This window comes from Homo sapiens, chromosome 7 (assembly GCF_000001405.40).
Source record: "Homo sapiens chromosome 7, GRCh38.p14 Primary Assembly".
Taxonomy (NCBI): Eukaryota; Metazoa; Chordata; class Mammalia; order Primates; family Hominidae; genus Homo; species Homo sapiens.
Genome location: NC_000007.14, coordinates 153233768 through 153257203, shown reverse-complemented (window position 1 = coordinate 153257203; position 23436 = coordinate 153233768). Strand labels below are relative to the sequence as shown.

The 23436-nt window shown below is 42.9% G+C and overlaps 1 long non-coding RNA gene across 1 annotated transcript in view; it reads right to left on the bottom strand.

Annotated features, from left to right (window-relative positions):
* Positions 1-23436, bottom strand: part of LOC102723686 (uncharacterized) — a 121255-nt gene that overhangs the window by 45794 nt on the left and 52025 nt on the right. Inside the window, exons 6-9 of the long non-coding RNA XR_007060599.1 lie at positions 19854-19900; positions 18260-18324; positions 12638-12747; positions 1981-2180 (exon numbers count right to left, since the gene is read on the bottom strand). This is a non-coding gene — a long non-coding RNA (uncharacterized LOC102723686). The remainder of the gene's footprint in view (positions 1-1980; positions 2181-12637; positions 12748-18259; positions 18325-19853; positions 19901-23436) is intronic.

The window sequence follows — 23436 nt, the reverse complement described above, 5'->3', positions numbered from 1 at the left end:
CACAAATCACCTCCTTCCTCTCTGACCAGGTCTCCTGCTCCACTCACACCCTGGCAGTTGTGAGGTCTTTTCCACACTCCCTGCCCCCTGTTTTGCTATCAACTGAACTGGAAGTCAGGAGCTATATTGCCAGTCCCTGTGGCTGTCCAGCCACATCACCATGGACACATCTGACCCTGGGCCCACTCTCCTTCTCTGTAAAATGAGCAATGAGCACACTCGACCTACTAGGCCTCCCTCTAAAGGTTGTTAGAACAATGCAGAAGTGGTGTACTCGTAAGTGCACAGAGTCTCCCGTGCTGAGCTGCGGACTACTCCCCTACCCCTTCCTCGCCATCCTGTCCTGCCCACCTCCCTTGCTAGCTGGGTCTGGTTGACTGCTCCCTCCCAGCTTCCCCCTGCCCCAGGCAGAGAGACTGCTGCCCTCCTAACCACAGCTCCTGCCAGAGGCCCCTTCAGGGCTGCAGCCCCACCACCATTTCCTTCTTGCCCAGCAGCAAAGCCTTCTGCAGTGTGTGGCTAGCTTCAGCTCTCCCTGCTGCATCCCTAAACCTTAAAGCACAGTCCTCAGTAATCAATGCCTTTGTTGGGTTTCTGCAGCTACAACCTCTGGGTACAATTCTGTTTCCTGACAAGATCCTACCTGATGAAGCACAAAATGTAGTATGAAAGAGAAACATTGTACTGGGAGCTCCAATGATACTAATTAATATGATAAAAACAGTGCAAAGGGGACCTTTGGAAGGGGCAGCTGAATTGGAAGGGCAAGATTTCAGTGTGAACATTGCCCCAGCCCGTTTCTTGACAGCAGTCACAGTTTACACCTGTCAATCCTGCAAAATGATTAACAGTGATGCAGGATTTTTCTCAGTCACTTTGCCAGCTGGGGACCTCTGGCTGGTGATGCCCTGACTGAGGCCTAACTCAGGCACTCTACCTGCTGCAGAAGGGACCCTACCTGTTGCAGGAGGCACTCAGTCAAGTCTGGCTTGTGCACCAGCTCAGCCCACAGCTGGGCCAGGTGTGGAGCCCCAGTCCACCTGTGTTGTATCTTGTACCCACATTCAGTGGTTTCCAAGCTCTTATTCCACGTCCAAGAAGAATGAGGATATGCTGACAATTGAAGGGTGAGGAGGGCAGAGAAGAATTTTATTCAGCGATGGAACAGCTCTCAGCAGAGAGGGGACGTGGGGTGGTCCCCCACCACCACAGTCCGTTGTTTACTCTCCTGGTGTGGCTGAGATTTTATAGGCTCAGAATAGGAGAGTGCATGATGATTGGTTTGTGCGTATGCAAAGAAAGGCTGAAGCAAAGGCACCACTCAAAGGTGGGCACAGCAGTGTAGAAAACCCATTAAGAAAGGGTAGGTATATGTAAAATAGGTGAAGGGTGAGGATCAATCAGAGGAAAGCACGCCACATGGTAGGACAGGTTCTCAGTCCAGTCCATGGATTTGACTTGTAGCTTGGCTTTCAGGCTTTAAGCTGTCTTCGGCTTGGAGGTGGAGTTTCACTGGGCACCTGCCCCATCTGCCTAGGCATTTGTCTGCCTCTGCCACTATCAATGGCACCCCCATTCACTCTTGAAGTGTCCCAATTTGGATAATGTAAGTTCAATGGTGAGAAACAGAAAAGCAGCTCCTGACCTCCAGAAGACAGCCTTGTATCCTGCTGCTGAAATCAACAATGTACACAACATCAACACTAGACAAGGCTGCTCTGTGATCGTGATGGATCAAGGCAAAAACAAGACCCTCTGTAATTATGTCTGGACACAGAGCATCATTGTGAGCAAACATACCACCATCCTAGCTGATGGGAGTTCCTGTCACTTCATCAGTTAGAATGATTGGCCTCAGTCTAGTCTTCCTGTCTTCTCAGTGTGATCTATGGAGCTACCCAACTAGAGAATTAGCCCTGCTTCCTGATAATAACCAGTCCACAGCAAAGCTCCACTTCCTGGGACCATCCCCCGGCTCACCTCACACGAGGCCCAGGCTCCTGTAGTAAGTCCTTTCTAACACTCTCCAACAGAGATGCTGGTACTCCACAGTTCTCCATCATGGGCTTCTTCTTTTCGGGAGATTCAGCTCATTTAACAAAAGGTCAATTCCAACTCATTCAATTCAGATACAATCCTGGTGGCTTTTGGCTGGTGGCTCAGACCATGGTCAGCCTAGACTTGGAAAATAGAGAAGGGAGGCAGGGCTTTTAAGCCACAACGAACACTTGAAATTGGAAATAAGCAAGGCATGTCCCAAGAACTTGAAAATTGCTATGAAATTGCTTAAATTTATCACTGTTGACCTACAGATTATTTTCCTTTCCAGATCATCATCTCTCAAATGATTACAAATCAATTTTAACTTCCTACAATCCTGCTGCAATTCTTGAAAGAAAAACCACAAGTGAATTTTCATGTCCCACAGAATGCCCAGATGAGCTCTTGGCTTATTCAATCCAGAAACAGCAGCAAGCACACTTATATATGGTGATGAGTGTTAAATAATATGTGTCCCCTCACGATTACTTTCCATTTGAAAATTAGATCTAAAAGACTGCTAAAATGCTGATCGCTTCTGAGGGGTATTGAGTCCCTGTGGCTGAATCATACCATTTTCCAAAATACATAACATAATTAAGTTTTGTCAGTGAGTAGCTTAGTTGCCCACATGGGATCACTTATGACTCATCTTAAAGCCAAGAAGCTAAAGGTTTGTGTTTTTGTTTCTAGAATCATCTCGTATGTGTAGCAGTAGGTCAGCATAATGGAATAAGCTGGGCTGTTTTTTTTCAGCCCTGGGCATTGAAGTTACTAATATTTCTGTGTTTTTAACGATGGCCTGGATTCTTTAAAGGCTGTCCAGTCTACTCAATGGCCTGGCGAAAAGATCTCTTGCATGCAGAATCAGGACCAAGGTAAGTTTGCCACTGTGTTGGCGCTGATCCTCTTCCTGCTGTCGTACCTCAGAGGTAAGAGGTGACGTCCTCACCCAGCTCCTGCCATGCACCACCCCTCACCCTCCACCCCAGATATCTGCAGCACACTCTCAGAGAGGCTGTCCTGCTCTGCTTCTGTGCCACGGCACACTCCCTCCCTGTCCCTCCACACCAAAACACTTCAGTAGTCACCTGCACCTGTCTCCTTTCCTTGACATCCTACTTTCTGAATCACAGCTATGGATGGGGTCATTTGTGCTAACTGTGTTCCTCCCAGATAGCCTATTTGCATTGACTCAGATTTACTGTTCACGTATATTTGCTCAAGCCCAGAAGTGTGAATTAAACATTATAATAAGAAATTACTTATTATGTACAATGTGCCTTTTTTTGTGATGGACACCCTAAAAATTCTATTTGGCTACTATAAAATCTATGCATGTAACAAAATTGCAAATGTACCCCGTAAGTTTGTACAAATAAAAATAAACAAACAAACATTAGAATCCCAGGTACTCTCATTAAGCTTGAGGAGAAGGAGTGGAGGTGTTCATAGACAAGACTTTAAAAATAAAACAGAAATGTTAATAAAGAAATTGAGAGAAAAGAAAAATGAATGTAGGAAAAGAAAACGAAGGTAAAGCCAGAAATAGTTAGAACACAAAGGCCTTTCCTGCTGTTCTGTTGCTAGAATCCTCAGAGGACTTTCACAAACTGACTTTAACAACTTTAACAGCTAAGGCCAATGGGGGACTATGACCCATCTGGATTTCCAGTTGGAGCTATGATAGCCTCCCAGGGAATGGGGAGTGAATGAGAACACACAGCTGCCCACTAGGTCTGTATGCAGCCCACACCTACACATTTATATCAAAGGAAAGGCCCTGAGAGGCAGGGTAGCAAACTGTGGCAGTGCAGGGATGAGAGGGAGCACAGGTGCTGTCTACCTGGGACAGGCACGCAGAGGACTGCAGAAGCACACTGCATGTGTTAGTATGCTCCAGAGAAACTAAGCAAAACAAATACATGCATGAATGTGTGTGCTTGCGTGTGTGTGTCTGCGTGTGTGTGTCTGTCTTTTTGTGAATGCTTGTGTGTGTGTGGGTGTGGGTGTGTCTGTCTGTATTTTTGTGCGTGTGTGTGTGTGTAGGCACAGAGAGTGGGTAGGGGGTAAGGTATTAAAAGGTATTGGCTCACATGATTATAGAGATTGAGAAATCCCACAATCTGCCCTCTGCAGGCTGGAGACCTGGGAAGGCCAGTAGTGTCGTTCAAAGGCCTGAGAGCCTGAGAGCCAATGGTATACATCCCAGTCCAAGCCTGAAGGCCTAGGAACCAGGACTTCCCAGGGAAGAAGATTCATGCCTCAGTTCAAGCAGTCCCATAGAGGGAGAGTGAATTCAGCCTTCCTCTGGCTTTTTGCTGTATTCCAGCCTTGAACGGACAGGATAACACCCGCCCATGCTGGGGAGTGCCATGGGTTTTACTGAGTCCAGCAATTCAAATGCTCATCCCTTTTGGAAACACCCTCGCAGAAACACCCAGAAATAGTGTTTAACCAGCTACCACCTAGGCATCCTGTGGCCCAATCAAATTGACATATACAATTAACCATCACACACATCAAAAATATTTAAGGTACAATATGTCTATCAATAACCATCCCCAGGAGACTCATGGGTCTAAGAGATGGAAGAAGAGTGAAAACAATGGGTTTTAAAACCTGCTGCTCAGAAAGTCAGAACTTCTGTAATCCAATCATAGAATGTCAGAAATCATCTGAATTATCTAGTCCACACTTCCTGTTTATATAAGAAATACATAAACATACAGAATGATACCTGGGAAGGTAAAGTCAGACTTTATCCCAGGCCATCCATAGATGAGGACAGGAAGCCAGATCTCTTGATCCCAGCTCAGTACCGGTCCTCTCGAGAGCTTTATTCCATTTTCTTACTTGCTATCTTTTGGATAATAAATCAATCAAGACACTGGGAAATTACTATTAGGACAAAATCCTCCATAATTCTCTACCTTAGTCAGATGAAGCCTTATTATCCAGATGAAAATGTCTTTGCTCTCAAATGCAAACATATAATAACCAAATAAACAAAGAAATTAAGATATGCGCACTCTGATCCCTTGGTTAATCTGCCTCACCTCAGCACTGCCACGTGTGATTTTATCTAATATATGATTATATTCTCTTCAACAAACGGAAACAACGGCACAGGCACCTGAGCATGTCACATGTGCCGGTCACTGAGTTAGGGGTTGTGGGTTTTCCTATTAGACTGCAAGGACCTGGAAAGATACATTTTTAATTAATTTTCAAAACTACAGTCTACAAATACGTATTGAATGCTGCAAGGCTACAAGGCGAAAGTGTGTGATGTCACTCACGTGGTGCTGGGGGGTGTGCCTGGGGCTGCAATGCCCACCTCCGTGCAGGTAAGTGCTGTCTTTGCCCATTTCCAGAAACGCGCAGCATCTTTCTGACACGGCAACAAGCTTCCTCCCGCCAACCAAGAGAGCACCCAGATCAGAGTGAAGATCCTGTCCAAGCAAGCTAGAAGCCCGTCTCCACTCCCATTATGAGGGCAAGTTTTACCCTCTTGTCCCTTCCCAACTCTTCTGGGGATTCAGGCTATGATTCCACCTGCAAATCCAGGGAAAGCTATGGGTAGCAACCCCAGCACATCAGTTTTGGGGGATTTTGTTTTTGTTTTCCAACTCTGTTGAGCTATGATTGGCAAATAAAACTTGACTCCATTTAGAGTGAACAATGTAATGTTTTGATACACCTATACATTGTGAAACAATTCCCACAGTCTAGCTAATTACCATATTTACCCCCAACCTTGTTACCATTTTTTTTGTGTGTGATAAGAACTCTAAAGAGCTACTCTCTAAGCAAACTTCACACATACATTTATCATTAACTACAGTCACTGTGCTGCATATCAGACTCCTAGAACTTACTCATCTTATAACTGAAGGTTTGGACTCTGTGACCAACATCTCCCAGCTCTCCCCAACCCCCCAGATCCTGGTAACCATCGTTCTGTTCTGTTACTATGAGTTCGACTTTTTTTTGACTCTACCTATCAGTGAGATCACAAGGTGTTTGTCTTTCTCTGCTGGCTTATTTCACTTAGCCTAATGCCCTCCAGGTTCATCCATGTTGCAATTGGTAGTATCTCCTTTTTAAGGCTGAATAGTATTCCATTGTGTATATATACCACATTGTCTTTATCCGTTCATCTGTGGGCACACACTTCATTTGTTTCCATGTCTTAGCTATTATAAGTAATGCTTCACATGGTTGACTATTTATTGTGAGACCAGGTGAAGGTCAGGGTATCAGATCAGTACTCAGCAGTAAATGCTCTGCACACTCATAAGAGATAATTGAATTGGGGAAAGTTAAATGAAGATGTCTATTAGTGAATAAAGGGCACTTGATCATGATGAAAACACAGTATCAAATTGAGGAAAGGTCACATGATATAAAAACCATGGCAATGCTGAGATAAGACAGATTAACCAAGGGATCAGAGTGCAAGGTATCTTGATTTTTTTCATTTATTTTATGTTTATGTTTGAGAAAAAACGTGTTTTTTTGAGACAGAGTCTCACTCTGTTGTCAGATTGGAGTGCAGTAGCACAATTTCAGCTCACTGCACCCTCCACCTCCCAGGTTCAAGTGATTCTCCTGCCTAGGCTCCCAAATAGCTGGGACTATAGGTGCACGCCACTATGCCCAGCCAATTTTTGTATTTTTAGTAGAGATGGGGTTTCACCATGTTGGCCAGGTTGACCTCATGATCCGCCTGCCTCAGCCTCCCAAAATGCTGGGATTACAGGTGTGAGCCACCACACCTGGCCCAATTTTTTACTGGAGAGTGAGATAATCTGATAGAACAGTGATTGCTGAGGATTTGGCTTGAAAGAAACTAGTATAAATTCTATTTTGAGAGCTCCAAGGATCTTGATTCTTTTGTCACTTCAGGATGGAGATCCTGAGTGAATGTATTCAGCAAGCTAATGGCATAGATCAGAGTCTCCAAAGAGGAAACAGTGGAGGTGAGTCATTTTCCCAAATTACACCTGGTCTACTGCCCACAGACCCAGCCAAGGTTCTCAAAGGGAGGAGGCATCAATTCTGACTCCCAGGGGACATTTGGCAATGTCTGTAAATATTTTGTTTTTTCAATTGCATACATTTATGGGGTAGAAGTGATGTTTTGCTATATGTATGCAATGTGGAATGATTAAATCAAGCTCAAATAATATATTTATCACCTCACTTATTTTTTGTGGTGAGACATTCAAAATTTACTCTCATTAGCTTTGAAATATATAATATATAATTATTAACTAAGGGGGTAATGTCCAAAACATATAAGGAATTCAAACAACTCAACAGCAAGAAAACAAATAACCCAATTTGAAAATAGGCACAGGACCTGGACAGACATTTCTCAAAAGAAGACATATAAATGGCCAACAGTTTCGTCAAGAAAAGTTCAACATCATTAATCGTTGGGGAAATGCAAATTAAAACCACAATGAGCTATCACCTCACACCTGCTAGAATGGCTATTATCTGTAAACACTTTTGGTTGTCACAGCCTGGGAAGGGGAGCTACTGGCATCTGGTGGGTGGAAGCCAGTGATGCTGCTAAACATCGTACAATGCACAGGACAGTCCCTCACAACAAAGAATTATCTACCAAAATTGTCGGTAGTTCTCCGACTGAGAAACCTTGCTGTTGCAGAGAATCACTGTGTGTCATAAGAAATGGTGTGAAGGGTATATATTTGGCACATGAATGGGGTAAAGGGTAGAGACAGAAAAAAGAATGGAAAACTTTGCAAGAAAAGGTTAGAAATGATCCTTCTTGGACTCAAGCCATGGAGCAGTTGAGTAGTGAGGTGAATAACCTGAAAAGGTTGAAAATTAATGTGGAGTCATCCCCTCCTCAACTGCTGCTCTTTCTCCATATTCCTCAGAAGTTCCAATAAACCTTCCATAAAGGGAGAAAGTTTGGGAGTAGGAAATTTTCCTTTTTACTTCTTCTCCTTAATTCATAGTTTTCCCTACAGGTTGAAGGAATGTTGCAGTATTCTCCATCTAAAAGTAACTGAATATTGGTATTTAAAAAAGGAAGCAGTTCAAATATGATTCTGTTTGAAATGACATCTGATCTGAGTAGAGATAAAATATTGAGATAAATAGGGATGACTGTAAGTTCTATGGAAATATTTACCAAGTATCTCCTATATCCATCTTGTTACTCATAACAAAAACATGATTCAAACCAGCTTAAATAATAAAGATACTTTTATTGGTTCTGGAAATTGCAAAGTCCACAGGCATGCCTTGATCTAGTGTTTCAATGATGTTCTCAAGAACATTTCTCTACTCTGTGAGAAGCTCAGGCTGTTTAAATGGTAAGGCTAACAGTCATGGAACAGTGCGAGGACAGTATAAAAAAGAAGAATTTAACTATGTGCCAACTTGCACAGCACAGACTGAAAACGTTATGAATTCTGAAAAGAATACTCTGACTTCCAAGAGGAGAAGAGATTAAAGTTGGCCTCAAAAGATGTGTATGGTTTGCATCAAACGCAGAGGGAAATGGGGGCATGCTAAACAAGAACAAGAAGTGAATGAGATTGGAGACTTTCCTGCCTGGAGCAGAGTGAGAAACCAACCCCCACCTCCAGACTGATTTCCTCTACTGAATACCTGGCTTTACCATCCATGGTGACCATGCTTGCTTATTTATTTTGACAAGCTCATTTAAATTGAGCAAAAAGAACATCTCATTGAAATGAAAAAGATTTGGGTAGTCAATTCCTTTTATCAGTTTTCCCTTCTAGGAGAAGCATTCTACCTATCACTTTTCTTTCTCAAAACCATTAGTCAATCAGCAAGAAACAGAACCCGTGCTTTTGCTGTGCAGGCTGGTGACAAATGAGAGTGGTAATTTCCCTGAGCAGGCACTTTGGTTTGCCATTTGCCTAACCAGCAGCAGACAAACACAGTGTCTAGATAATGTCCTTAAGATTGCAATGGCCTTTTATAAGAGATAACCCAGAGTGATTAGAAACGCTATGACTGCGGACTTAAAGAATGTGGCTCAGCCATGAAGGATTGCTTCTGTATGAACCCATATACTTATTGCAGGCACAAAGCTGATAAATCCTTTCTAGTTATTCTGCTTAGTATGAAGGACAGCCAAAGTATGTCTTCTAAGTTTCTTACAGAATGCCTTTGTCCCATTCAAGAACATGTATGTGGCTCACTGGTCTTTGTTGGAATGCCGGCAGAAGGTTTTTGAGATATACAGATATAAGAGATATAAAGATAGCCACAGGCTGACTTCATTATAAAAGTCATAAGCTTTCACTTGCCGATATTCATGCAGTTCTTTAATCAAGGTCAACTGGCTCACCATTGCTGCCTATGAAGCCCATCTATAAATTCAAATAGTACAACATACAAAACATTGATCCACAGCAAGTGAGAGTAACAGCAGCAATAATGGCACCAATATTGAGAAGTTCTTTGAAATTCTCCAATGCAAACACACGAAAAAAAATATTATTAATAGCTTCTTTCTGGTTTTTTTTTGTTTGTTTGTTTGTTTTTTTTGAGATGGAGTCTTGCTCTGTCACCCAGGCTGGAGTGCAGCGGCACCATCTGGGCTCACTACAACTTCTGCCTCCTGGGTTCAAACAATTCTCATGCCTCAGCCTCCCGAATAGCTGGGATTACATAGCGTGCCACCACACCCAGCTAATTTTTGTATTTTTAGTAAAGACAGAGTTTCACCATATTGATTGACCAGGCTGGTCTCAAACTCCTGGCCTCAAGCGATTCATCCACCTCGACCTCCCAAAGTGCTGGGATTACAGGCATGGCCACCATGCCTGGCCTAACAGCTTCTCAACCCTACAATTTCAATCGTTTATAAAGATTTCACACAGAAGTCACTGGTCAGTGCCTTAGTCCATTCAGGCAGCTGTAATAAAATACCTTAGACTGGGTAATTTATAAAAACCATAAATGAATAGCTCACAGTTCTACATTTAGAACTGGAAAGTCCAAGAGCAGGGCACCAGCAGATTCAGTGTCTGGTGAGGGCTCACCCTCTGCTTCAAAGACGGTGCCTTCTAGCTGTGTCCTCACATGGCAGAAGGGGTGAATGAAATCCCTTAGGCCTCATTTATAAGGGCACATATCCCATTCATGAGGGCTACGCCTCATAAGTAATCACCTCCTGAAGCCCCACTTCTTAATAGTATTGCATTGGAGATTAGGTTCCAACATACACATTTTGTGGGGATACAAAGAGTTCCACTTTATTTGTAAAGAAAAAAGTCATAAAATATCTAACCACATTTGTTAACGCCTTGATGTTTAGTCCCTTTTTCATCAGCACTTCTTTAAAAATAGCAGTCGATATTTTATTTCATCATGTTTAATAAAACTTTATAGTTTATGGACCTCAGTAGACTTCTTAATTAAGGCTGATGTTGGTAACATTGCCAAAAGTCACAGGACCTAGGCAAGATACATAATTGCTCCCCAGTGTGGCCAGGAACCTATTCCCAGACAAGATATGATTAATCCTTATGTAGGCAAGAAATCTCGGAAGTGCAGAAATATAAAAGAAAATGTCTGAATTCCAGTTTCTCTGGAGAAAATTTTGCAGCTGCATGCTTCCTAGCTCCAGAGAGCCTAAGAGGCAGGACCAATACAACTCCCTAACAGAATGAGATAAGCATGGATATTTTTACAAGTATTGATTGATACCACCATGTGCATTTAAGATTAGAAACTACTTAGTTACGGAACCAGTGATTAAACCCCATATGAGAAGCCGATCTACAAGGTGAGCAGAGTTAAAGAAGTGGGGTTCACTTTTACTTGTGCTAACACTCAACCCTTATTAGCCAAACTGTATTATGTGAAACCTTAGTCATACAAAATGCTTCATGGAAAAATGACTCTACAATCAATGAAGTTTGAGAAACTGTGAATTAGTCAAGGTCCCAGCAGGAAACAGAGAGAATGGTCAAATTAGGTATTTTGAAATGAGTGCCATAAGGTGTAGACCACATACATGAAAATCACAAGATAGTGCAGTCTGTGGGTGCTATTTGCAGTTTGCTGCAAGGGGAGTGAGCAGTCACCAAAACAGACAGAAGGCTGTGCAAAGAAGGCCCTGACAACAGCTGTGGCTGTCAGTCAAGGTATACAATCAGCTGTCAGCCACCCACAGGCGGGAGCCAGGGGAGGAAATACTTGACTATTCTCTACTCTTTCCCTCTTACCTACTAAGTCCCCACTGTCCAAACCCAACTGGAAAGGAGAGCAAAGGGGGCTTGTTATGGAATCAGAAAAGACTAGGCTGCCAGGGAACAGAGCAGGGTGGAGAGTGGTGGAGAGTGGGTCTGGAGGGGCAAACAGAAGCCCAGTTCACCTTGCTTGCTACTCCTGCATTTTGGAGAACAACATGACATATTAGCTTGTTAAAGGCCTTGAGAGATTGTCCTAAACAGAAAGTTTAGTAATGTTTTGCCTGTTGTTTCCCTGATTCATTTGACCTCAGCCTGTTTTCTTTCACATAACATGCTGTTCTGTGGAACCCACCGGGGGAAATACTGTTCTTAACTGACCACTTCTATGTGAATCCATGTAGGAAGACCCCCTGAAACTATTGCTACAGAATAAAAGATAAAATGCTCCTGATTATTGTAAATACAAAATTGCATGCAGGATTGTGTAAAGACAATGCCAGGTTGGGCTGCCAGAATGAGCCAACGGCGTGTGATGTGCTTTCCCCTGCAGAGAGCCTATGAACAGATGTGCAGTCAGGGAGGTTTCACATTACCAACACTCCTATCCCAGAAAAGCAGATGTTCATAGCTGTGGGAATGGAATGCGACCCTTGTGGAGAGCCTATAAATGGATGCATGACGGGCAACTGTTCACATGGATAAGATAGGGCTATAAACGCCCTCATCTTGCCACAGCTCTTCTAGGCCTCTTTAGGGTTAAGGCATACTCCCTTCTGAGAATTTCTGGTCTAACCGGTTGTCTAGCTTCACGTCCTGTTTCTATGGATTGCTTGTAACCAGCTTTTGCTGCAACTGTTAACTGCTGATTAATATCTTGCTAATCATAGGTTATGGAAAGACTGTGTTTCCATTTGAAGGCTCTGTTAGAAATTACTGATGCACACACTATATTGTAAATTCTTATCTCTGTATACTGTACTACTGCATACAGATGTTATGTTAAAGAATTACTTCATCCCCATGTGACCATCTCACCTCATAATCAAATGACCCTAAATCTCTCACTAACCTACCCCCGCCCTCACTAAACTTAATAATAAATGCTGGTATATCCAGTACATTGTTGGCACCGTGGGACCAAAGGCAGCGACCACCCTGGACCCAGCTTTCACTATCTTGTGCGTGTCTATTATTTCTCAACTTGCCGATCCACCTGGGAACAAAGAAAGAGCCCCACTGCATTGTGGGCTGCTGGCCAGATCCCACAATAAATCCACTTATGCATTTATTCACTCCTTCACAAAATGTCAATAGAGCATCCCAATGGGTGAGGCACTGTTGGATACAGATGTGAACAAGATGACCTCACTTTCCATACTTACCCAGCACAGATCTGATGTTATTACAATTGTAGCACAGCCACCTGGATTGCTGTAACTGCATCCTACTGGTATCCTTGCTTCTAATCTTACTCCCCTCCACTCTCCTCCACCTGTGGGTAAAAATGCAAATCAGATTCTGCCACTACCCTGATTAACACTCTTCAACGATGTTCCATTGATCATAAGATAAAGTGAAAAGATAATATGCTCATGTGGTTTCCAACGCCCTTCAAGATCTGGCCTGTCCACCTGTACAACTTAATTTTATTATATCATTCTCTTCAATCATACTGAACTGACCATTTTTCATTTCCCTAAATATATTTTATTCTTCCCTGGACTTTTTCTCCCCTTCTCTCCATGACCTTGTTGAGTACTCTAAGAAGTCTCTGATGACTCTCCCACATCTGATTTCAATGCCCTTCTCTGTGTTACCATAATATTCTGTTGTTTCTGTATTTTAATATGTTTTACCCTTCATTGAAATTGCCCTTTCCATGTCTAAATCTCCTCCCAGACAGAAAATGAGTCTAATTTTATTCCAAAATTGTGTCCAATATTATCACATTTATATCTCTGGTATCTAGCACATAATAGATGGTCTATGAATATTTGTTGAATAAATACATACAGGATTAGTTATTGCCTTTTCATTGTAGCAACTTTCAATATACAAGCACAACAAATCACGGGAGGCCCAACAAATCATGTCCCTTGCCTTTTCATGAGATTCCATTATCATCTCCCTAGAAGACAGAGATATGGGCCCAGCAAGATGGAAGTGAAGTAAAAATTTAAAAAGAGAACTCTGAAAAGTGATCCCCTTTAAAAAGTGCTATATACAATGTTCACTAATTTTATAATCTTGCCTGAGATTTGAACTTTTTTCCAAGTCAAAATGCATGAGAGAATTGTGATAAAAGTTTTTGTTCAATTACATAGCTAGTCAACAATTACTCTGCAACCCGAGAAGAAATAAGAGAGAATAGGAAATGTCACATCTGCCCCCTCAATTAACAAAAATATTCTCCCAGAGGTCTGTGGAAAATTAAGATGCAGAAAGGAGAAACGAGTGGAATGCTTTGGAAACTTATCAAAAGCAGTGAGGCATCCCCAAACTATGGGGGTGGAGGCCTCTCACTGAAGTGTGCAGCCGGGTGCATATTAAACATGGTCACAAAAGCAAAGGGGATGAAGAAAAAGGAAAGGAAAAGCATTGAAAGGCACCTGAGGGCAACATGGAAGAAACAGGATTCACAGACTGAAGCAAATACAAAGAAAAGGTCCATCTAACAATGAATAAAATCCAGCTTGCTATAAAGTAGTTATCTAATTTTCTTTTCTGTTTTTTCCCTATTATTTAAAATGGACACATCTGAAGTCCTAGCCAAAGCAATCCGACAAGAGAAAGAAATAAAGGTCATCCAAATCAGTAAACAGGAAGTCAAACTGTCTCTGTTTGCTGATGATATGATCATATACTTAGAAAACTCTAAAGACTCATCCAAAAAGCTCCTAGAACTGGCAAATAAATTCAGAAAAGTTTTAGGATACAAAATTAATGTACACAAATCAGTAGCTCTGCTATACACCAACAGCAACCAAGCTGAGAATCAAATCAAGAAATCAACTCCTTTCACAATAGCTGAAAAAAAATAAAATACTTAGTAATATACCTAACCAAGGACATGAAAGACCTCTACAAGGAAAGCTACAAAACACTGCTGAAAGAAATCATCGACGACACAAACCAATGGAAATACACCCCATGCTCATAGATATAGAATCAATATTGTGAAAATGACCAGATTGCCAAAAGCAATCTACGAACTCAGTGCAATTCCCATCAAAATACCATCATCATTCTTCACAGAACTGAAAAAAGCAATCTTAAAATTCATATGAAACCAAAAAGGAGCCCACATAGCCAAAGCAAGACTAAGCAAAAAGAACAAATCTGGAAGCATCACATTAACTGACTTCAACATGTACTATAAGACCACAGTCAGCAAAACAGCATGGTACTGGTATAAAAATAGGCACATACACCAATGTAACAGATAGAGAACCCAGAAATTAAGCCAAATACTTACAGCCAACTGATCTTTGACAAAGCAAACAAAAACACAAAGTGGGGAAAGGACACCCTATTCAATAAATGATGCTGGAAAAATTGGCAAGCTACATGTAGAAGAATAAAACTAGATCCCCATCTCTCACCTTATACAAAAATAAACTCAAGATCGATCAAAGACTTAAATCTAAGACCTAAAACTCTAAAGATTCTAGAAGATAACATCAGAAAAACTCTTCTAGACATTGGCTTAGGCAAAGACTTCATGACCAAGAACCCAAAAGCAAATGCAACAAAAACAAAGATAAATAGACGGGACTTAATTAACTAAAAAGCTTCTGCACAGCAAAAGAAATAATCAGCAGAGTTAAGAGACAACCCACAGAGTGGGAGAGAATCTTCACAATCTATATATCCAACAAAGAACTAATATCCAGAATCTGAAAAGAACTCAAACAAATCAGCAAGAATAAAACCAACAATCCCACCAAAAAGTGTACTAAGGACATGAATAGACAGTTCTCAAAAGAAAATATACAAATGGCCAACAAATATATGAAAAAATGCTCAACATCACTAATTATTCAGGGAAATGTAAATCAAAACGACAATGCAATACCACCTCACTCCTGCAAGAATGGCCATAATCAAAAAATCAAAAAATCAAAAAATAATAGATGTTGGCATGGATGTGGTGAAAAAAGAACACTTTTACACTGTTGGTGGGAACATAAACTAGTACAACCACGATGAAAAACAGTGTGAAGATTCCTTAAAGAACTTAAAGTAGATCTACTGTTGATCCAGCAATCCCACTACTAGGTTCCAACCCAGAGGAAAAGAAGTCATTATATGAAAAAGATACTTGCACATGCATGTTTCTAGCAGCACAATTTGCAATTGCAAAAATATGCAACCAGCCCAAATGCCCATCAATCAACGAGTGGATAAATAAAATGTTTTTTATATATATATATATATATATATATATATATATATATATATATATATATACACACACACACACACACACACACACACACACACACACACACACATACACACACACCATGGAATACTACTCAGCCATAAAAAGGAATGAAATAATGGCATTTGCAGCAACCTGGATGGAAGTGGAGACTATTATTCTAAGTGAAGTAACTCAGGACTGGAAAACCAAACATCATATGTTTTCACTCTGATATGGTTTGGCTGTGTCCCCACCAAAATCTCATCTTGAATTGCAGCTCCCATAATTTCCATGTGTTGTGGGAGGGACCTGGTTGGAGATAATTGAATTATGGAGGCTGTTTCCCCCATAATGTTCTCATGGTAGTGAATAAGTCTCACAAGATCTGACAGTTTTATAAGGGGAAACCCCTTTCACTTGGTTCTCATTCTCTCTTGCCTGCCACCATGTAAGACATGCCTCTCGCCTTCTTCCATGATTGTGAGGCCTCCCCAGCCATGTGGAACTGTGAGTCAATTAAACTCTTTCCTTTATAAACTACCCAGTCATGGGTATGTCTTTATCAGCAGTGTGAGAACAAACTAATACACACTCATAAGTGGGAGCTAAACTGTAAGGACACAAAGGCATAAAAATGGTACATTGGACTTTGGGGACTCGGGAGAAAGGGTGGGGGAGGTGGCAAGGGATAAAAGACTACACATTGGGTACAGTGTACACTGTTCAGGTGATGGGTGCACCAAAAACTCAGAGATCACCACTAAAGAACTTATTCATGTAATCAAACACCACCTGTTCCCCAAAAACCTATTGAAATAAAAAAAAACTTTAAAAAGGTAGTATTATTTAATATTTTAATCAGGACAAAAATCCTTGCTATTGTTAACTAAAATAAAAAAAATAAGTATGTCTTAGCTAATCTTTATTAAATAAATAAATAAGTAAAATTGACCCATCTGATAGAAACTTGATATTGGTGACCAGAGTCTAGTGAATCAGCTGGGTTGAGCAACAGTCAGGGTGTGGGAGAGGATAGTCAGGAAATCTGATTTCTAGTCTTGGCTTGCTACTCATCACAGTTTTTCCCAGGAAAGTTCCTGTACCTCAGTTTTCTGGTCTGTAAAATGAGAGAATATTGCCTGGATACCTCACGAATTGATCATTTCAAGGGAAGCTTGGAAAATAAGGCAATATACAAACCTAAGAAATATGTTTTTGAGGCCAGATGCTCTATGACATGGGTTGATAAACTACACCATTGGGCCCAGCCCAGCCTGCCACCGGCTTGTGTAGGTAAAGTCTTATTGAAGGACAACCATGCCCATTTGTTTACTATTTATCCATGGCTGCTTTTGCACAACAGCAGAGCTGAGTCATCAGAGACCATATGGCCCACAAAGCCTAAAATATTTACTATCTAGCTCTGTATTTAAAAAAAAAAAACTTGCCAACACCGGTCTATCATGTAACTTTGAACTTCATAAATGAATGTATAAAGGTGATTTTAATGAATTATTTTATTCTATGTCTACTGCGTATATCTTTCTCTTCCTTCTAAATCTCCTTCCTGATTATAAAGTGACATGGTAGAAAGTCACCTCTTGATTTTGAGGCTTTTTAATTTGACTATAGTTCCCTTAAGAGACTACACAATGTTCATTGTATTTTGGGGATGCCCTCCTCAGAATTTACCTATGGAATGCGTTCATTGCAATGACAATTCTTCCTTTAGTTAGGATGGATTTGAATACTGGAAACACCTACACAGGTGGATGCAAATGTGAAGAAGAAACAATTTCAAGTGTTATTTTGCCATCTTTGAGGCTTCCAGGCCCCAAAGGAGCCCTATGAGTTCCCCTGCTCCCTGCCTTGCTTGTTCCCGTTGGCTGGACCAGTGTCCCCCATCAGTCTCCAATCTCACGTGTCTCCATCCCCTGCTACTCCATGAAACAAACAAGCCAATAACATCCTCCCACAGGCACCAGGGGCCACCACACCCCCTTGTTTCTACAAAGCCTGCCTCCATGCCCCTCTGGTCCACTCTGTTCTTGAGTGCATCCCTCGTGTGGCCCTGCGTGGTGTGTGGCGTCATCTTCCCCAGGCAGGCTGTGGGTATATGTAACTAATAAACTGCTGTTGATCACATCTGTCCAGCACAAGGTGTCATGTGTTCAGCTACCTTGTGCGATTGAAGGGGTTGGGTATTCTTCCTCCACCAACATGGTGAATAATGATGATAGAACAGGGTGCACCTGGGAGCCACCAGCCACCAGGCTATGGGTAAATCATCTCTAAAGAAAGGATCTTGGCAAAGCACCACAGTCTTCATTAAAGTTAATCCCTTCCACTTCACAGATCAACTTGCTTTTTACATTAAGTTTGTCTCATTTGAGTATAGCACTGGGATCACTGAGCACCAAAGAGATTCTTCCCTATGTCCACTGTGTGGCAGCAGGCCTACCTCCCACTGGTAATGAGTCAATTTTCCCTGCAGGTTGTGACTTTTCTCTTCTGGATGGTTTATTGGCACCAAGTGATCAAGCAGCAGCCATAGCTGAAAGTTCAATGAGACTCTTACCATGTCCACTGGTGGAAGTAATTTCCTTCTGGAAGCCAGGACCTCTTAACAGGTACAGCATGAAACTGCAGGGACCAGAGCAGAAATTTCAAGTGAGTCGAAGAGAGCCATGGAGAACGTGGTGTCATCTCTATTTTCCATTCCTTACACCAAATGAAGACACAGCTGTGTCATATAATAGTCATTGATTTAGGCTGTCTATGCTGCCCTGGAAAACAGCACCTGTGGTAAATTTAAAATGGCTACAGATTTTTTTGCTACTGGTCCCACTGAGATGTCATTGAGAGGGAAAGTCTATTTCCCCTCCTCCTGAATCTGGGCCAGGTCTGTGACTTCTGTGGTTAGTAGTGTGCTACCGAAGTGATACCACATGACTTTCAAGGCTGGGTCATAAGAAACCTTGCAGCTAGGCCTGGAATGTTTGCACTTGGGATCATCCCTCTTGGAATAAGCCATGAGGCTATGAGAAGCCCAAGCCACACGGAGAAGCCACAGTGAGGGCTCCAGTTGATCACCCTGTTGGACTCCCAGCCAATAAGCAGCATCAACTTTAAGCTAATGTGGCTAGAGGGATGAGTTGGGGGAGAGGTGCCAACACAATAATAGAAGATATGTGGTCTGGGCCACCTGCTCATGTAGCTTACTTGTACCTGCTGGATTTGTTCTTGCCTAAACCTACATGCACCATTTCTGTTTTATGATGAATTTCTTCTGGGCTCACTTGCCTATGTCTTTGTGGGTGTGACCCGATGCAGCTCATGACGGGGCACTGGTCACTTGGTCACTTGATGCTCCATGGTCAAACACTGTGCCTCTAGCAGAACCCAGGACAGGGCATGACAGGAGCTACTTTTGGAATGCTTTATAGTTATCTCCTGTGGTTGGTAATGTCCTTGCTCCCAGTAGATCCTAAAGAGATACATTCTGATTATCCAGTTGAAGCTTGCCAAATGTTCCACACAGCATCTTTTCCCACCTTTTTGATACCTACAGGGTCATACATCTGTCAGGTCAAATGACAAAAATGGAAGGACCAGCTGTGCTGCAGCCTGGAAACGATGTAGATGCCAGCCTGGGCTCAGGTTCCACTTAAAAATGCATACCCTCCATGTCTCCTCTAAATGGGTACAATCAGTATTCCCAAGTGCCAAAGATGTTGACTCCATAATCCTGGGTGCCTGCCAAATTCTTCTCATCTTTCTTGACTGTGGGCAATACTAGATTCAACAATTCATCCTTTATTTAGAGGGGATGTCCCAGCAAGTCCCAGACTTCCAGACACCTACAAATTTTGTGACTGTGACAGATCCCTGAACCTTCATAACATTTATTTTTCCATCCTGTGAAGAATGTGAACATATGCCTTATCAAGTTCTCTAACATATTTGCCATTTCTTGTTCATCCAGCATGATTAACATGGTGCCATAGATAGAGTGTACCCATGTAGTATCATAGACAATTCCTAGATGGTCCAGGGATCTTCAGACTATAAAATGACAGATGGTGGGAGAGGTAACATAACCGCAGAGAAAGACTCTAAACATTTACTGTTGTGCTTTTCACATAAACATAAGCTGTTTTTGATCCACCTACCTGATAAAGATGTTAAAAATGTCTTCGCCATCTCCTCAGATGCATACCTAAGAGAGGAAACTGTGTTAATCATGGCTTAGTATGTGCAATTATCTGGTCCTTTTGATCCTTTCTTCTACCATCTGTCATGACAACTCTGGCATTTCTGCTTCACTTACTCTGGGCCATTGATTTTCTCAAGAATTTCAAGAGCCATCCTGGCAACATATCAGCCCCATTCCCATGGTCCTTGCCAGTTGTTATATCTTCTATTGTAAGGTATTGCTTCCACGTCCATAACCTCTCCTTCACCCAATTCTATGTTCTGCCCCTCCTTGATCCAGCACCCTTGGGACAACTCCCATGCCTGCTAGCAGACCCTGGAGGACTTCGGATTATGAGCCTCCTCCTCACTTGGCAGCTCAGCATGACCCTCTTTGGGCTCTGCTGGGATTTGACACTTGTTATTAGATTGCTGCCAGAAACACCCTGAAGGGGAAGGCATTGTCTTTTAAGAAACTTGACTCTTTTGAAACCTCTGCATAATCTTCAAGCAAGGAGCCATCTTTTAGCAAGATGGAATAGGCCACTTCTTTAGGACGAGCAATACGAGAGATGCTGGATGCTGAAGTTTCTCAAGAGCATCTACTCACCCACCCTAATCTCAGACCTCAGGTTTTCACTCTGTTATTGGGCTTAATTTTGTCTCCCACAAAATATGCTGAAGTCCCAATCTCCAAGACCTGGGAAAGTGACCTTATTTGGAAATAAAGTCTTTACTGAGGTAATCAAGTTAAAATAAGATCATTATGGTGAACCGTAATCCAATATAACTGTTGTTCTTATACAAAGGGGAAATCTGGACACAGAAACAGACATGACACAGGGAGAACGCCATATGAAGATAAAGGCAGAGATTGGGATGATGCATCTAGATGCCAAAAAACACCAGTGATAGAAAACCACTAGAAGATAGGGAAGAGGCACAAAACAGATTCTCCCTCACAGTCCCCAGAAGGAACCCCCCCGCCAACATTTCTGTCTGAGACCTCCAGCCTGCAGAACCATAAGACAACCTTTTCCTGTGGTTGAGCCACTCAGTTCTGCTTTGTTACCAGAACCCAAGGACACTAATGCAAACTCCTTCCCTTCTGGAGTTCCCAGGCTGACAGGAACTGCACTTCTATTTAGGTCTCTCTCTTGCCCATTTGGATCGTCTATTCTAGGGGAAGTTGTGTCATGAGCAGCCCCATGGAAAGGCCCACATGGTGAGGCAATGAAGCCTCCTGCCAAGTCACATAAGTGAGCTTGGGCACAGGACCTCCATCCCCCATTGCGATGGTCATAGCCCTGGCCAACAGCTTGACTGCAACCTCGAGAGAGACCTTGAGCCAGATCCACCCAGCTAAGTCAAGCCTGTTCATAATTTTTTTTTTTGAGACAGAGTTTTGCTCTTGTTGCCCAGGCTGGCATGCAATGGCACAATCTCAGCTCACTGCAACCTCCACCTCCTGAGTTCAAGCAATTCTTCTGCCTCAGCCTCCCAAGTAGCTGGGATTACAGGTGCCCACCACCACGCCTGACTAATTTTTTGTATTTTTAGTAGAGACAGGGTTTCACCATGTTGGTCAGGCTGGTCTTCAACTCCTGACCTCAGGTGATCCATCCGCCTGGGCCTCCCAAAGTGCTGGGATTATAGGCATGAGCCATCGTGCCCAGCAAGCCTGTTCATAATTTTAAGCTGCTAAGATTTGGGCTACACTGTAGTGCCACAACAGTTAATACAGATGGCCTTCAGGATTTCAGAGACTGAGACATTTTCATCTGTATTCCTCATTAACAAGCTCATTTGGAGGGTAGTACAAGGTTAGGACATTTTTACTGGGAACAGAGCAGTTTGCTGTGTGAAAAATTAATGTGTTTACGATAGCTGAATAGGAACAGCTCCAGTCTGCAGCTCCCAGCAAGACTGATGCAGAAAGCAGGTGATTTATGCATTTCCAACTGAGGTACACGGCTCATCTCATTGGGACTGGTTAGACAGTAGGAGCAGCCCACAGAGGGTGAGCTGAAGCAGGGTGGGGCATCGCCTCACCTGGGAAGTGCAAGGAGTCGGGAACTCCCTCCCCTAGCCAAGGGAAGCCCTGAGGGACTGTGCCATGAGGAACAGTGCTATCAGGTGCAGATGCTATGGTTTTCCTATGGTATTCACAACCCGCAGACCAGGAGATTCCCTCTGGTGGCTACACCATCAGGGCCCTGGGTTTCAAGCACAAAACTGGGCAGCCATTTAGGCAGACACCAAGCTAGCTGCAGGAGTTTTTTTTCATACCCCAGTGGTACCTGGAATGCCAGTGAGACAGAACTGTTCACTCCTCTGGATAAAGGGCTGAAGCCAGGGACCCAAGTGGTCTAGCTCAGCAGATCCCATCCCCACAGAGCCCAGCAAACTAAGATCCACTGGCAGTCTGAAGATCCAGTCTGAAGATCCAGCACTCTGAATTTGACCAGAGACACTCGAGCTTGGTGGGTGGAGGGGCGTCCACCATTACTGAGGCTTGAGTAGGCATTTTCCCCCTCACAGTGTAAACAAAGCCGCAGGGAAGTTCAAACTGGGCGGAGCCCACCACAGCTCAGCAAAGCCACTGTAGCCAGACTGCCTCTCTATATTTCTTCTCTCTGGTCAGGGCATCTCTGAAAGAAAGGCAGCAGCCCAGTCAGGGGCTTATAGATAAAAGTCCCATCTCCCTGGGACAGTGCACCTAGGGGAAGGGGCAGCTGTGGGTGCAGCCTCAGCAGACATAAATGTTTGTGCCTGCCGGCTCTGAAGAGAGCAGCAGCTCTCCCAGCACAGCACTCGAGCTCTGCTAAGGGACAGACTGCCTCCTCAAGTGGGTCCCTGACCCCCATGACTCCTGACTGGAAGACACCTCCCAGCAGGGGTCGACAGACACCTCATACAGGAGAGCTCCAGCTGGCAACTAGCAGGTGCCCCTCTGGGATGAAGCTACCAGAGGAAGGAACAGGCAGCAATCTTTGCTGTTCTGCAGCCTCCGCTGGTGATACCCAGGAAAACCAGATCTGGAGTGGACCTCCAGCAAACTCCAGCAGACCTGCAGCAGAGGAGCCTGACTTTTAGAAGGAAAACTAACAGAAAGGAATAGCATCAACATCAACAAAAAGAATGTCCACACAAAAACCCCACCCAAAGGTCACCAGCATCAAAGACCAAAAATAGATAAATCCACAAGATAGGGAAAAAACAGCGCAAAAAGGCTGAAAATTCCCCAAACCAGAATACTTCTTCTCCTCTAAAAGATCACAACTCCTTGCCAGCAAGGGAACAAAACTGGATGGAGAATGAGTTTGACGAATTGACAGAAGTAGGCTTCAGAAGGTAGGTAATAACAAACTCCTCCAAGCTAAAGGATCACGTTCTAACCCAATACAAGGAAGCTAAGAACCTTGATAAAAGGTTACAGGAACTGCTAACTAGAATAACCAGTTTAGAGAAGGACATAAATGACCTCATGGAGCTGAAAAATACAGCACAAGGACTTCATGAAGCACACACAAGTATCAATAGCCAAATTCATCAAGTGGA